Below are 17,555 nucleotides of genomic sequence, written 5' to 3' on the forward strand. Positions count from 1 at the left end.
CAGAAACCCTACAAGCCAGAAGAGAGAGGGGGCCAATATTCAACATTCTTAAAAAAATATTTCAACCCAGAATTTCATATCTATCCAAGCTAAGCCTCATAAGTGAAGAAGAAATAAAATTTTTTTACAGACAAGCGAATGCTGAGAGATTTTGTCACCACCAGGCATGTGTTACAGAGCTCCTGAAGGAAACACTAAATATGGAAAGGAAAAATAGGTACCAGCCACTGCAAAAACATGCCAAAATGTAAAGACCATCAACACTATGAAGAAACTGCATCAACTAATATGCAAAATAACCAGCTAGTATTATAATGACAGGATCAAATTCACACATACAATATTAAAATTAAATGTAAATGGCTAAAAGCCCCAATTAAAAGACACAGACTGATAAATTGGATAAAGAGTCAAGACCCATTGATGTGCTGTATTCAGGAGACCCATCTTACATGCAAAGACACACATAAGCTCAAAATAAAGAGATGGAGGAATATTTTCTAGGCAAATAGAAATAAAAAAAAAAGTGGCTGAAATCCTAACCACTGATAAAACAGACTTTAAACCAAAAAACAAAAAACAAAAAAAAATCAAAAGAGACAAAGAAGGGCATTACATAATGGTAAAAGGATCCATGTAAAAGAAAGACCTAACTATCCTGAATATATATGCACCCAATACAGGAGCACCCAGATTCATAAAGCAAGTTCTTAGAGACCTACAAAGAAACTTAGACCCCCATACAATAATAGTGGAAGACTTAAACGTTATACCTAAAACCATAAAAACCCTAGAAGAAAACCTAGGCATTACCATTCAGGACATAGGCATGGGCAAGGACTTCATGTCTAAAACACCAAAAGCAATGGCAACAAAAGCCAAAATTGACAAATGGGATGTAATTAAACTAAAGAGCTTCTGCACAGCAAAAGAAACTACCATCAGAGTGAACAGGCAACCTACAAAATGGGAGAAAATTTTCACAACCTACTCATCTGACAAAGGGCTAATATCCAGAATCTACAATAAACTCAAACAAATTTACAAGAAAAAAACAAACAACCCCATCAAAAAGTGGGCGAAGGATATGAACAGACACTTCTCAAAAGAAGACATTTATGCAGCCAAAAAACACAGGAAAAAATGCTCACCGTCACTGGGCATCAGAGAAATGGAAATCAAAACCACAATGAGATACCATCTCACACCAGTTGGAATGGCGATCATTAAAAAGTCAGGCAACAACAGGTGCTGGAGAGGATGTGGAGAAATAAGAACACTTTTACACTGTTGGTGGGACTGTAAACTAGTTCAATCATCGTGGAAGTCAGTGTGGCGATTCCTCAGGGATCTAGAACTAGAAATACCATTTGACCCAGCCATCCCATTATTGGATATATACCCAAAGGATTATAAAACATGCTGCTATAAAGACACATGCACACGTATGTTTTTTGCGGTGCTATTCACAATAGCAAAGACTTGGAACCAACCCAAATGTCCAACAATGATAGACTGGATTAAGAAAATGTGGCACATATACACCATGGAATACTGTGCAGCCATAAAAAAGGATGAGTTCATGTCCTTTGTAGGGACACGGATGAAACTGGAAACCATCATTCTCAGTAAACTATCGCAAGGACAAAAAACCAAACACTGCATGTTCTCACTCACAGGTGGGAATTGAACAATGAGAACACATGGACACAAAAAGGGGAACATCACACGCTGGGGCCTGTTGTGGGGTGGGGGAAGGGGGGAGGGATAGCATTAGGAGATATACCTAATTTTAAATGACGAGTTAATGGGTGCAGCACACCAACATGGCACATGTATACATATGTAACAAACCTGCACATTGTGCACATGTACCCTAAAACTTAAAGTATAATAATAATAATAATAAAATGTGCTGCACCTACTTCTCTCTCTTCCTCCTTCTCTGGCCATGTAAGACATGCCTGTCTCCCTTTGCCTTTGTACATGATTGTGCGTTTCCTAAGGCCTCCCTAGCCATGCTTGCTGTACAGCCTGCAGAACTGTGAGCCAATTGAACTTTTAAAAAAAAAATTATCCAGTCTCAGGTAGTTCTTTATAGCAGTGCAAGAATGGACTAATATAGTTTGGCCTAGGATGGGCAACAGAGATGACATTTGTACTGCACATGGAGCCTGAGGCACTCTGCTCTAGACTGTGCCACAGGCTAAGCCAGCTTCTACAAGTTCCTGCCCAAGGATCAGATCCTACTCAAGGACAGGTCTGGAGAAGAACTATGGTGGAGCAATGCCAATTCATGCACAAGAACAGTCATGGGCTTTATTTATATATTCTAGGGATTTGGAACATTTACTGCAATCAGCAAGAGAGTGTCACTACCACAATTCAGAAGAAAATCCTTAAGGAAGGTGCGACCCAGGAACAGTATGAATCTCCACTGCATATTTGTCACCAAATGACAAATATGGATAGGCAATGGAAAAGAATAGCACTGGACTATAAATTTTCTTCTGTCCTACATAAAGAAAAACCTAGCAAAGGAGTATTAAAGAGGAGGGACACTTCTGATTTATATTTATGAGTTTTCAGTCAGTCCACCAAATACTTTATTTTTTCTTTCCTTTTCTTTTTTTTCCTTCTTCTGAGGCAGGATCTTACTCTGTCACCCAGCCTGTAGTGCAGTGGCACAATCACGGCTCACTGCAGCCTCGACCTTCCAGGACTTATGTGAGCCTTCTGCCTCAGCCTCTTGAGTAGCTGGGAGTACAGGTGTATGCCACAATTCCTGGCTATTTTTGGTATATTTTTGTAGGTATGGGGTTTCACCATGTTGCCTAGGTTGGTTTTAAATTCCTGGGCTTGAGCAATCTGCCTGCCTCAGCCTTCTGAAGTACTGGGATTACAGGTGTGAGGCACCATACCCAACTAAATTCTTTACTGTTTTAATGCAGTTGGACTCCTTCATATCACATCTAAGAGAACATATTGTAGCACATCAGGTGAGGAAGTGTTTGCTTTAGGCCTCCACACAGAATCACAGTCATCTGCTAAAAAGATCCATTGCATGACCCCTACCTCTACCCTTGTCCCTTCAGTTTTTGTATCAGAGCCTCCTTTGTGTAAGTAGGTATTACAAGTCTCTCTCTTATGAATTTTCCATTCCCCATTCTCTTTGACCATCACTATGTTGAGTTAACTTGCACTGCTGTCAATAAACTGTCTCTGACAGTATCTCACTGGTTCCACTGGTCTTCCTGAATTTCCACTGAAAAGAATGAATTCTTTTTCCCTTATCACCTTGGCATCTCAGTCCTGTGAAGTCTCCTATCTCAATCATCTAGTCCTCTATCCTACCACAGACATACACTCAAGTAATCGTATTTTATGTCAAGGTTGGGCAAAGTACAGCCCACTGGCCAAATCTGGCATGCAACCCGGTCACATTTAACATGGTAATGTTAGTACCCACATTATATTTTCAATTCTCCTTCTTGGCCCACAAAGTCTAAAATATTTATTACCTGGCTTTTTAAGTAAAAGTTGCTGACCCTACTACAGATCCTCTAGTTCCTAATAAATATAGTTTTTCCACAGTTTTAATTTCAGAAAGTCATGCTGTGATTCACTACCTCCAAATTCAGGTTTATTTGCTCTAGAATTCTGATTTCCCAAATCCTCCCATTTCATTAAGACCATCAGTACACCGATGTTACTATTATATCAAAGTACCTCACTTACCTACTCCAAGTTACATGCTTAATAAGTATTTGTTGATTGAATGAATGGAGTGGGTTTCTTTACTCTGAGTCCAAAATTCCAGATTCCCTCAGGAGTCCTGTCATCTGAGTTCTGCCTTGCTAAGTCATTCACTAATGTGTATATTCTCATTGCTCCTTCCCTCACCCCACAGAAACATGCCTGTCCCTATTTGTTCTCCCCAGGTACTGCAATCTATGCCTAGAGTATAAACGCTAAAGAATAAGCCTATGCTACAACTAGCAGCTCTCAATTTTTGAGTAACTATTATGCACTGGGTACTTTAAACATAATCTTATTTGATCTTCTCAATAACTACATGAGATAAGTACAATTCATATTTTAGAGATGAAGAAACTAGGCCTCAAGAGGTTAATTGCTCAATTTCTCAGAGCACGTGAGTCAGTGTTCCCTCTGAGACCTTTAGAGATCCAAATCCTATATTCTTTCCACTATGCTGTGTGCTGTAAATGTCAAAGAATGACTCAAGGGATGAGCATATCAGTTAATAATGGGGATAGATTTAGAGAGGCCATGTTAAACTTGGAAAGGGGGTTACATATATTTAGGTAAAAGAGTTAAAAAGGTGATTCTCTGCCCCTGGAGTAATAGTTCCTAAAAAACTTACAGATTAGTAAGTAATTCAGCCTCACCCACCTGGCTTTTTTGTGCCACTGCCCAGGAGTTCTTTTAAACACAATAAATGGGCAGGCAACTTCATTTTTTCCAAATATTACTGTATATCAAGAATCTTGCTGTGTTCTATAACCTCATAATTTTCTAGCTGGAAAAGCATGATAGTTTGATGAGAAGATCTTCCCACTGAACCACGGAGGGGCTACTTCTTGCTTTCTTCCAAAAATATAGAGGATTTGGCTTACAAAAAATGTCACTTAATATGATAATTCAGCTGAGGTTAAACTTATTTTTAATTAATGATTCAATACATTTTCTTGCCCTCCCCTACTCAAGAGCAATTAACATAGCTCTTTCTTCTTCTAGCCTAAAGTTTTCTAATAGGGCTAACCACTTCTAACAAAGAAATTCATATCTGAAAGAAAGAAGGCTATTTTGGTGTGTAGTTCAAAAACTATTGAGCATGACCTATAAAAGTTATTATTCATATTACTGCTCTTTCTAAGAGTCTATCTTTTTTTAAGGCTCTCTCTACTTTTCAATGCTCTGACAGCAATCTGTCATGCCTCAACCCTCTTTAAGAGTTTCTAAATTCTCTGTAAATACCATATGCATCCTGTGACACTGACATTCTCCTGCTTTCTTGATCTTTGCCATGCCCAGTTAGATATTTAGATTCATTGACCCAGCATCCTCACTGAGCTTCACCTGACATCTATTTCTTTGTAGCTTTAAATCGAATAGCCAAATAGTAATATATAATTTTGAAACAAATTTTTTTCCATGTGTCCACTTCCTCAAGACATTCTTATTCAAGCCAACTTTCCCTTTTAAAATTAGAGCAACAATCTCTTCACAAACATGTAAGATACGCTCTGCAGGTGGGAGTCAGAAGAAATGAGAATGTTCTTAAAGAATCCCTTCTATTTTCTCATCCAATATTACCTGCTCTGACCTATAGCTGAGTGATGGAAATTAGAAATGATTAGCAAGTGGAGATTTGTTAGATTAGATAAGGATACCTAGAAAACTATGAATATGAAATGCTTTTTTTCTTCCACTGCAGTTCATTTAAATACAAATACAGTCGTTATCATCTTCGAGGATTGTGTATTTATTAGTAATGTAAAAGAAATGCATAACATTTTATGTCTGAGTCTTCTATTTCTTTCTTTTTCCTTTTTTTATTATACTTTAAGTTCTGGGATACATGTGAAGAACATGCATGTTTGTTACATAGGTATACACGTGCCATGGTGGTTTGCTGCACCCATCAACCCATCATCTACATTAGGTATTGCTCCTAAAGATATCCCTCCTCTAGCCCCCGAATCCCAGAAAAGCCCTGGCGTGTGATGTTTCCCTCAGTGTGTTCATGTGTTCTCATTGTTCAGCTCCCATTTATGAGTGAAAACATGCCGTGTTTGGTTTTCTGTTCCTGTGTTAGTTTGCTGAGAATGATGGTTTCCAGCTTCATCCATGTCCATGCAAAGGACATGAACTCATTCTTTTTAATGGTGGCATAGTATTCCATGGTGTATATGTGCCACATTTTCTTTATCCAGTGTATTATTTATGGGCATTTGGGTTGGTTCCAAGTTTTGCTATTGTGAATAGTGCTGCAATAAACATAAGTGTGAATGTGTCTTTATAGTATAATGATTTATAATCTTTTGGGTATATATCCAGTAATGGGATTGCTGGGACAAATGGTATTTCTGTTTCTAGATCCTTGAGGAATCGCCACACTGTCTTCCACAATGGCTGAACTAATTTACACTTCCACCAACAGTGTAAAAGCATTCCTATTTCTCCACAACTTGTCCAGCATCTGATGTTTCCTGACTTTTTTTTTTTTTTTGAGACGGAGTCTCGCTCTGTCGCCCAGGCTGGGGTGCAGTGGCGGGATCTCGGCTCACTGCAAGCTCCGCCTCCCGGGTTCACGCCATTCTCCTGCCTCAGCCTCCCAAGTAGCTGGGACTACAGGCGCCCGCCACTACGCCCGGCTAATTTTTTTGTATTTTTAGTAGAGACGGGGTTTCACCGCTTTAGCCGGGATGGTCTCGATCTCCTGACGTCGTGATCCGCCCGCCTCGGCCTCCCAAAGTGCTGGGATTTCCTGACTTTTTAATGAAAGCCGTTCTGTCGTGAGATGGTATTTCATTGAGGTTTTGATTTGCATTTCACTAATGACCAGTGATGATGAGCTTTTTTTCATATTTTTGTTGGCCACATATATGTCCTCTTTTGAGAAGTGTCTATTCATATCGTTCACCTACTTTTTGATGTGATTGTTAGTTTTTGTCTGGTTAATTTGTTTAAGGTCCTTGTAGATTTTGGATGGATAGATTTTGTCAGATGGATAGATTGCAAACATTTTTCCCATTCTGTAGGTTTCCTGTACACTCTGACGATAGTTTCTTTTGCTGTGCAGAAGCTCTTTAGTTTAATTAGGTCCCATTTGTCAATTTTGGCTCTTGTTGCCATTGCTTTCATGTTTTAGTCATGAAGTATTTGCCCATGCCTTTGTCCTGAATGGTATTGTCTACGTTTTCTTCTAGGGTTTTTATGGTTTTAGGTCTTACATGTAAGTCTTTAATCCACTTTGAGTTAATTTTTGTATAAGGTGTATGGAAGGGGTCCTGTTTCAGTTTTCTGCATATGGCTAGCCAGTTTTCCCAACACCATTTATTAAATAGGGAATCCTTTTCTCATTGCTTGTTTTGTAAGGTTTGTCAAAGATCAGATGGTTGTAGATGTGTGGTGTTATTTCTGAGGCCTGTGTTCTGTTTTATATATAGGTCTATATATCTGTTTTGGTACCAGTACCATGCTGTTTTGGTTACTGTACCCTTGTAGTATAGTTTGAGTCAGATAGCATGATGTCTCCAACTTTGTTCTTTTTGCTTAGGATTGTCTTGAATATTTGGTTTCATATGAAATTTAAAGTAGTTTCTTTCTAATTCTGTGAAGAAAGTCAATGGTAGCTTGATGGGGATAGCAGTGAATCCATAAATTACTTTGCACAGTATAGCCATTTTCACAATATTGATTCTTCCTATCCATGAGCATGGAACATTTTTCATTTGTTTGTGTCCTGTCTTATTTCCTTGAGCAGTGATTTGTAATTCTCCTTGAAGAGGTTCTTCACATCCCTTGTAAGTTGTATTCCTAGGTATTTTATTCTCTTTGTAGCAATTGTGAATGGCAGTTCACTCATGATTTGGCTTTCTGTCTATTATTGGTGTATAGGAATGCTTGCAATTTTTGCACTTTGATTTTGTATCCTGAGACTTTGCTGAAGTTGCTTATCAGCTTAACGAGGTTTTGGGCTGAGACGATGTGGTTTTCAAAATATACAATCATGTCATCTGAAAACAGAGACAATTTGACTTCCTCTCTTCCTATTTGAATACCCTTTATTTCTTTCTCTTGCCTGATTGCCCTGGCCAGAACTTCCAATACTATGTTGAATAGGATTGGTGAGAGAGGGCATCTTTTTCTTTTGCCGGTTTTCAAAGGGAATGCTTCCAGTTTTTGCCCATTGAGTATGATATTGGCTGTGTGTTTGTCATAAATAGCTTTTACTATTTTGAGATACATTTCATCAAGTATTCTCTGATGGTAGTTTGTATTTCTGTGGGAACTGTGGTGATATCCTCTTTATCATTTTTTATTGTGTCTATTTGATTCTTCTCTCTTTTCTTCTTCAGTAGTCTGGCTAGTGGTCTATCTATTTTGTTAATCTTTTCAAAAAACCAACTTCTGGGTTCATTGATTTTTTAAAGTGCTTTTTGTGTCTCTATCTTCTTCAGTTCTTCTCTGATCTTAGTTATTTCTTGTCTTCTTCTAGCTTTTGAATTTCTTTTCTTGCTTCTCTAGTTCTTTTAATTGTGATGTTAGGGTGTCGATTTTAGATTTTTTTTCAGCTTTCTCCTATGGGCATTTAGTGCTATTTCCCTCTAAACACTGCTTTAGCTGTGTCTCAGAGATTCTGGTACCTTCTGTATTTGTTCTCATTGGTTTTAAAGAATTTATTTATTTCTGCCTTAATTTTATTATTTACCCTGTAGTCATTCAGTAGCAGGTTGTTCAGTTTCCATGGAGTTGTGCAGCTTTGAGTGAGTTTTTAAATCTTGAGTTCTAATTTAATTGCACTGTGGTCTGAGAGACGTTTGTTATCATTTCCGTTCTTTTGCATTTGCTGAGGAGTGTTTTACTTTCAATTATGTGGTCTATTTTAGAATAAGTGCATTGTGGTGCTGAGAAGAATATATATTCTGTTGATTTCGGGTGGAGAGTTCTGTAGATGTCTATTAGGTCTGCTTGGTCCAGAGATGAGTTCAAGTCCTGAATATCCTTCCTAATTTTCTGCCTCACTCATCTGTCTAATATTGAGAGTGGGGTGTTAAAGTCTCCCACTATTATTGTGTGGGAGTCTAAGTCTCTTTATAGTTCTTTAAGAACTTGTTTTATGAATCTGAGTGCTCCAATATTGGGTGCATATATATTTAGGATAGATAGCTCTTCTTGTTGCATTGATCCCTTTACCATTATGTAATGCCCTTCTTTGTCTTTTTAAATCTTTGTTGGTTTAAAGTCTGTTTTATCAGAGACTAGGATTGCAATTCCTGCTTTTCTTTTTCTTTTTTTGCATTCCATTTGCTTGGTAAATATTCCTAAGAAAAAGCCTATGTGTGTCTGTGCACGTGAGATGGATCTCCTTAATACAGCACATTGATGGGTCTTGAGTCTTTATCCAATTTGCTTGTAATTGGGGCATTTAGCCTGTTTACATTTAAGGTTAATATTGTTATGTGTGAATTTGATCCTGTCATTATGATGCTAGCTGGTTATTTTGCAATTAGTTGATGCAGTTTCTTCATAGTGTTGATGGTCTTTACATTTTGGCATGTTTTTGCAGTCGTTGGTGCCAGTTTTGCCTTTCCATGTTTAGTGCTTCCTTCAGGAGCTCTTGTAAGGCAGGACTGATGATAACAAAATCTCTCAGCACTTGCTTGTCTGTAAAAAATTTATCTCTACTTTGCTTTTGAAGCTTAGTTTGGCTGAATATAAAATTCTGGGTTGAAAATTCTTTTATTTAAGAATAAATAAATTTGAATATTGACCCACACTCACTTCTGGCTTGTAGATTTTCTGCATAGAGATCCACTGTTAGTCTAACGGGCTTCCCATTTTGGGTAATGTGACCTTTCTCACTGGCTGCCCTTAATATTTTTTTCTTCATTTCAACGTTGGTGAATCTGATAATTATGTGTCTTGGGGTTGCTCTTCTCGAGGAGTATCTTTGTGGTGTTCTTTGTATTTCCTGAATTTGAATTTTGGCCTGTCTTGCTAGGTTGGGGAAGTTCGCCTGGACAATATCCTGCAGAGTGTTTTCCAACTGGGTTCCATTCTCCCCGTCACTTTAAGGTACACCAATCAAATGTAGGTTTTGTCTTTTCACATAGTCCCATATTTCTTGGAGGCTTTGCTCATTCCTTTTCATTCTTTTTTGTTTAATCTTGTCTTCATGCTTTATTTAATTAAGCTGATCTTCAATCTCTGGTATCCTTTATTCCGCTTGATGGGTATGGCTATTGATGCTTGTATATTCTTCACAAAGTTCTCGTGCTGTGTTTTTCAGCTGCATCAGGTCATTTATATTCTTCTCTAAACTGGTTATTCTTGTTAGCAAATCCTCTAACCTTTTTTCAAGGTTCTTACCTTCCTTGCATTGGGTTAGAACATGCTACTTTAGCTTGGAGGAGTTTGTTATTACCCACCTCTGAAGCCTACTTTTGTCAGTTTGTCAAACTCATTCTCCATCCAGTTTTGTTTCCTTGCAGGTGAGGAGTTGTGATCCTTTGGAGAAGAGGTATTCTGATTTTTATACTTTTAACCCTTTTTGCACTGGTTTTTCTTCATTTTTGTGGATTTATCTACCTTTGGTTATTGACGTTGGTGATCTTAGGATGAGGTTTTTGTGTGGACATCCTTTTTGTTGATGTTGATGCTATTCCTTTTTGTTTGTTAGTTTTCTTTCTAACAGTCAGGCCCCTCTGCTGCCGGTCTGCTGGAGTTTGCTGGAGGTCCACTCCAGACCCTGTTTGCAAGGGTATCACCAATGGAGGCTGCAGAACAGCAAAGATTACTGCCTGTTTTTTCCTCTGAAAGCTTCGTCCCAGAGGGACACCTGACAGATGCCAGCCAGAGCTCTCCTGTATGAGGTGTCTGTTGACCACTCCTGGGAGGTGTCTCCTAGTCAGGAGGCATGGGGGCCAGGAACCCACTTGAGGAGGCAGTCTGTTTCTTAGCAGAGCTCAAGCGCTGTGCTGGGAGATCCACTGTTCTTTTCAGAGCCAGCAGGCAGGAACGTCTAAGTTGGCTGAAGCTGTGCCCACAGCCACCCTTTTCCCCAGGTGCTCTGTCCCAGGAAAATGGGAGTTTGTTGTTGTTGTTGTTGTTGTTGTTGTTTTGTTGGTTTTGAGACAGAGTTTCACTCTTGTTGCCCAGGCTGGAGTGCAATGGCATGATCTCAGCTCACTGAACCTCTGCCTACTGGGTTCAAGAGATTCCCCTGCCTCAGCCTCCTGAGTAGCTGGGATTACAGGCAACTGCCACCACGCCAAGCTAATTTTTGTATTTTTAGTAGAGATGAGGTTTCACCATGTTAGCCAGTCTAGTCTCGAACTCCTGACCTCAGGTGATCCACCTGCCTCGGCCTCTCAAATTCCTGGGATTACAGATGTGAGCCATTGTACCCAGCTGGGAGTTTTATCTGTATGCCCCTGACTGGGGCTGCTGCCTTTCTTTCAGAGCTGCCCTGCCCAGAGAGGAGGAATCTAGAGAGGCAGTCTGGCTACAGCAGCTTTGCAAAACTGCGGTGGGCTCTGCCCAGTTAAAACTTTCTGGTGGTTTTGTTTATACTGTGAGGGTGAAAAATGTCTACTCAAGCCTCAGGAATGGCAGATACCCCTCCCCCACCAAGCTCAAGCACCCCAGGTCAACTTCAGACTGCTGTGCTGGCAGCCAGAATTTCAAGTCAGTGGATCTTAGCTTGCTGGGCTCCATAGTGATAGGATCTGCTGAGCTAGACCATTTGGCTCCCTGGATTCAGCCCCCTTTCCAGGGTAGGGAATGGTTCTGTCTTGCTGGCATTCCAGGTGCCACTGGGGGTATGAAAAAAAAATAAAAATAAAAAAAAACTCCTGCAGCTAGCTCAGTGTCGGCCCAAAAGGCCACCCAGTTTTGTGTTTGATACCCAGAGCCCTGGTGGTGTAGGCACCTGAGGGAATCTTCTGGTCTGTGAGTTGTGAAGACCATGGGAAAAGTGTAATATCTGGGCTGGGATGCACTGTTCCTCACAGCACAGTCCCTCACAGCTTTCCATGGCTAGAAGAGGGAGTTCCCCAACCCCTTGTGCTTTCCAGGTGAGGCAATGCCCCACCCTGCTTTGGCTAACCCTCCATGGGCTGCACCCACTTTCTAACCAGTTCCAGTGAGATAAAACCGGGTACCTCAGTTGGAAATGCATAAATCACCCACCTTCTGCATTGATCTCGCTGGGAGCTGCAGACCAGAGCTGTTCCTATTTGGCTATCTTGCCAGCCACCCTTGAGTCCTCTAGGAATCCCTTTTTATCATTAACATACATTGAACATTTACAACAGTTCCAAGGACTATACTTTGCATGTTTTAACTCATTTAATGCTCAAAATAACTCCATTATTGTCCCCATTTGTACAAATAAAGTACCAACTGAAGGTCAAAGAGCTTGAATAAATTGCTTTAGGTCACATAGCTAAAAAGTCTGAAATCAAATATAAATTCAGTCAATCTGACTCCAGATATTGTTTATCCATAAAAATATATACAGCCTCGGAATTGTTCATTGGTACTAGACTTCTTCAAGAAAGTTCGTTGCATTTTTTTGAGAGTGAACAGAGTGCCTTCAGAAATAGCGGCCTTATTAAAATATGATTTATTTTTGTTCTTCCTAAGTCAGTGTATATGGAGTCTCTAATTGGCTGGAGACAAGTTTTCAAATTCACTGGGAAAACTTTTGTTGCTACCCAAAGATTCCTGTCCAACCTTTATGCTAATCTTTCTGTTGGGCTTATTGTTTTAACTTATGGCTTTAAAATATGCAAAAATACAAGTGCATACTTCCATGCTAATATATTTTCCTGTTATATCTCCCAACCATTCCCAGAATGCCTGGGACAAACAAGCACTAAATACTGCCTTAATATGAAAGAGATTTTCATAGAGGAAAGAGATTTTCTGAGGCTAGTGTGGAGGTTACTTATCCCAACTTCAGCTCAATAGATATGGCAAAATGTTTACAAATTTCATATCTATAACAATTGTAAACATGTATTTTAAAATGTATAGTTAATAAAATAATGTATAGTTAAATACATTTTATAATTAAATGGATTTTAAGTCTCATATTTTATATTGTTTGATTAGTCTGTTTTCACATTACTGATAAAGACTTACCTGAGATTGGATAATTTATAAAGAAAAAGAGGTTTAATCAACTCACAGTTCCATGTGGCTAGGGAGGCCTCACAATCATGGTGGAAGGCGAAAGGCATGTCTTATATGGCAGCAGGCAAGAGAGAATGAGAACCAAGAGAAAAGGGTTTCCTCTCATAAAACCGTAAGTTATCGTGAGACTTATTCACTATGACAAGAACAGTATGGGGGAAAGGACCCCATGATTCAATTATCTCTCACTGGGCTCTTCCCACAACATATGGGAATTATGGGAGCTACAGTTCAAGATGAGATTTGGGTGGGAACACAGCCAAACAATATCAATTCTATACTATACATCTTTGTGTTGACAATACTTAGCCTGTTCTTTTTTTCATAGAAGGTGTTTTTGTTGATGATATTGACCTGTATGATATCTTCAACCCTTTATTCATCAAGAGGATATTGAGGACAGAAGTAAAATTGCAAGGAAGTTTATTTCTCACAGCAAAAAGAAAATGTTTGTTCAATATATAGTTCGACATCCCAGACTTTATACAGTTGGCCATGAATACAAAAATGTCGTTTTGAATCTTTAAATCATTAATTGACTACAATTTGAGTCCTATGTCTTTGAAAGAAAAAAACTCACACCCAAATGAAATCATTTCATAAAAAACAAGCAAGGTAATGATTATTTTTCTTCATTTGTTCAGGTCTTCTGAAGTTCCTCAGCTCACTTGTCTCAGCAGTGTCTGTATCCTTTAGTCCTCAATTATCGATGAAAAAAGGAGGTGCCACAAAGTGGATATTACTGTGAATAAGTCTGAATTCAGGGTATAGAAACACACATGTGTGTGCACACATACACACACACAGAACCTTGGGGAACTGTTTTTATTTTGTGGAAAACATACCTAATTGCAATGTTGTTTGCTTTGCCAGGTGCCATGTCCAATCATGCTCAAAGAAATCTTTCAGCTGCTCCTGGAAAGAGGGCTTGCTTATATAGTTGCTCTCTTATTGCTGCTAGCAATAAGCCCAATTTACCTTCTCAGTACATATCTCCTTTACCTATACTTGACATTTCTTTCAAAGAGACAGCCTGATCCCTTGTGTATTTGTGAGCACTGTGTTTGTGTTTATTTGTGTTTCTGTATGTGTTTCCTTCACCTACTTTAACTCTTACGAAGATCAACAACCACTTAAAACATTCAACCATTTTTTGGTCTCCAAGTTCCTTCTCTTAGAGAGAACATTTGGCTGCAGCTGTTTTCTTTCTGCAAAGCTCTATTATGCTTAAAGTTCATAGTTGAATAAGAAAATGCATTTCTAGAAATATGTTTTCTGGATTTTTATGTAATAGTAGTACACTCAAGCATTGTTCTTTTGCTGAATGCATGCAAATCTATAATGGAAAATATTTCATCAGTTTAGATGTTTATGCTTTCATATTAAAGATTTTTGTTAACCAGACAGAGGAACAAGGCCTAATATGGCAACATGCTCTGTTTAAGTAATAGTACTTGTCTTGATTATATGGCCTTTATTAAAATTCCCAGCTCCGTGAACATTACACAAAACATTTTTTGCCAGATTTCTAGATGCCTCTGACATAAAATAATCAAGACTCAAGTGTATGCATGTATGTGTGTATGCATGTGTATGTATAGTGATTCTATATATATATATAATATATATATATATATAAAATATATAATCCATCTGAAGACATGCATTTGGAAACATCAAATCCAAGCTACCAGGCTTATGTAAATCCAGATAAGGAACAACCAATTTCTCAGAACTTGTTAAAATATCTGAACTTAAGTGAACTTCATAGTTCTTAAATTTTTTTATTTTTCCAGTCTTACTGATATTTTTAAAATTTAATCATTATAAACTCCAATAGCAGAAAAACAAATATTATCTTTTACAATAAATAACAGAAGTGAATCTATATAGATCTAGGGTACTCATGGGGTTCATTCTCTTTGGCGCATTCATAAAAACCTGAAATCTGAAATTGTGTGACTTTGAAGGACACTATGTCTATCTATCTATCATCTATCTATCTATCATCTACCTATTTCCAATTGTTTAAAATTTCTCTTACCCAATTTATTAAAAATTCATTTTTACTAGTGAGTAGGCACCTATTAGGGCAGGAATTATGTATTATCTCTATTTATTATTACACATCCTGGGCCTAAGTGCAAAGTAAATATTTATTGAAGAAAAGAAGGAGAAAGTAAAGAAGGGAAGAAGAAGGGAAGGAGGTAGGGAAGAATGGAAAGCAGGGTGGGAAGTAAGGGAAGGAAGAAATGTATTAACTATTTTTGTTGTTGTTGTTCCTTTCCTAGACCTTATCAGTATACAAAATAGAATGGCTGCTACAGAGTAGGTACCAGAAGTGTCCACTATGGACAATAGAAGGCTTTGCAGTTTGGGTACTATAGGAAGAAAACATTGAGACAGAGTTGGTTGTACAACTCTTTTTATTAAGAAGTTACATCAGCAAAAGAAGGGGAAGAAGAAGGGATGGTTAGATGTGACAGAGGCTGTATCCCCCACAAGGAGCTCTAGAGTAAATGTTGCCTGTTAGAGGAGTTCTATTTCAGGTGCACATGGCTAAGCCCTTGGACCACTGCCTTGTTCAATCACTGGCTGGCAGCCACTCTAAGAAGACTGGTACCTCGGCTTGAAATCTGAGGCTGACGATAAAGAAGCTGATAGCTGGAGGCTGTTTGATAACCACGCTCCTTGCAGCTAGCATTTCTTTTCTTAAACGGGGATGTGGAAGACACATCTCTGTATCTTCTACATCAGGTATGGACAAGTTTCCTTCATTATGGAAAGCAACCTAAGATATACCAACTTGTCCCTCTCAAATAACCAGCTCTAAATAAGAAGGGAATATAATGCTCTCCGAGAAAAGTGTAAAAAAGGGAACTCATGCAAAGGAATCTGTTTGTTTGTCAGTCTTTACACTGCATTTCTGTATGTTTCTACTTTGCTTATTAGGGGGATTCACAACAAATGCATCTCTGATTTTTTGTAATTGAAAGCATAACTGATCAATATTAAAGAAAACACATCTCTATTCTTTATAAAAAATAAGAATTTTTTATAAAGGATTCAAATGGATATCACTTGGTGAAACTTAAATGAGTTAATATCTTTGTTTCTCTTATTACCTTCCTTTTTGTAGGTTTCCATGGGAATCTTTGAAAAGCAACTGACTACAGCTGAATCTATATGTGTTCTAACAAGATCAGATTCAATTAAAGATCTGATGCATCTGCTCCTCGTGGTTTATGAAAAAAATCAACATGAATTTATTGAATAATTAATATGTACAGATTATGCAAACTGTGAGAAATTCAAAAACTGAGGAAGCTCCTGCCTGTGTTTTCGTATCGCAATGAGAACTGAAGCTAGGCATGTATTCACCAACATGAGGTAGGAGAGAAAATATTTTTCACCCATCACAAGGTTCATGGCTGAGGCTTTTACAACAAAAGACAAATTAACAACAAAAAAATAGGATAACCAAATTTATTTAACGTAAGTTTTATATGAAACAAAGCCTTCAGAATTGAACATGGAAAGAACCAGGGAAAACTGTGCATTTTTACAGAAAGTCATACAAAAGTGTGATTGGAGCACAAAAGAGTATGATCTAAGGATAATAAACTGGGGTAAACTTAACAAGGCCTGTTTGTTCAGATTCTTCTTGGACTCTCCGTGTGACATTTCTTCTCTCCTGTAGTAAGACAGGACATCTGTCACATGAGGTTCTTTAGGAGAGAGGGGAGGGACAAAGTTAGAGAGACCTTCCCGCTTCTGCAGTTTTCTCAATTTATTTCAGCTTTAAAATACTCAGTATGGCAAGATTCCACATTTTGGGGTGGCATTTTCTATACCCCATTAATGACAAACTTGAGTATCCTAGTTTATTTTTTCCCCAACTGAAATTGTTTTTTATAATCTCAGAAAAAAAAAAAACTGCTAGGCATGGGGTATGTGAAAATGGAAGTTAAAATGACAGTATTGTAGACAGTTGGCCAGCAAGTGATTCAGTATCTCAATGAATTATTATAAATTGAGTATCTACAACGTGCCATTAACTATGATAGAATCCTAGGACACAGAAATTGACAACGTAGAAGATATCCTTCCATTCGCTGAACTTATACATGACCAAACTAATAATTCTGAAGAATTAGAAGAGCTAAGAATGAAATGAAAGAGGAAATGTTATAAAGAGTAAATATAGTAGAACTGGGAAGCCAAGAGCAGGAAAATTTTATGTAGGATGATCAATCAAGAACATTTTGAAGAAATGTAATTTGACTTGAGATCTGAGAGGTGAACAAACAATAAATTGAACTTTTTGGGGGAGAATATTAAAAAGAAAAGATAACCAGAAAGAAAAATTACAAAGTTTCTGAGAGAGAAGTAAGTTTAGCTGGTTCTAGAAATATGTGGTACACTAGAAATACAATACAAGACACATATGTAATCTTAAATTTGTTAGGAGACATTTAAAGAGTAAAATTAAAGTGGTTCAATTACAATAATACTAAATTTTGTCTTATTTTATGTAATATACCCTAAACAGCATTTCTACATATAATCAAATTAAATATTAATGAAAATATTTTACTTTAATTTTT

The sequence above is a fragment of the Homo sapiens genome, chromosome 6 (assembly GCF_000001405.40).
Source record: "Homo sapiens chromosome 6, GRCh38.p14 Primary Assembly".
In the NCBI taxonomy this organism is placed as follows: domain Eukaryota; kingdom Metazoa; phylum Chordata; class Mammalia; order Primates; family Hominidae; genus Homo; species Homo sapiens.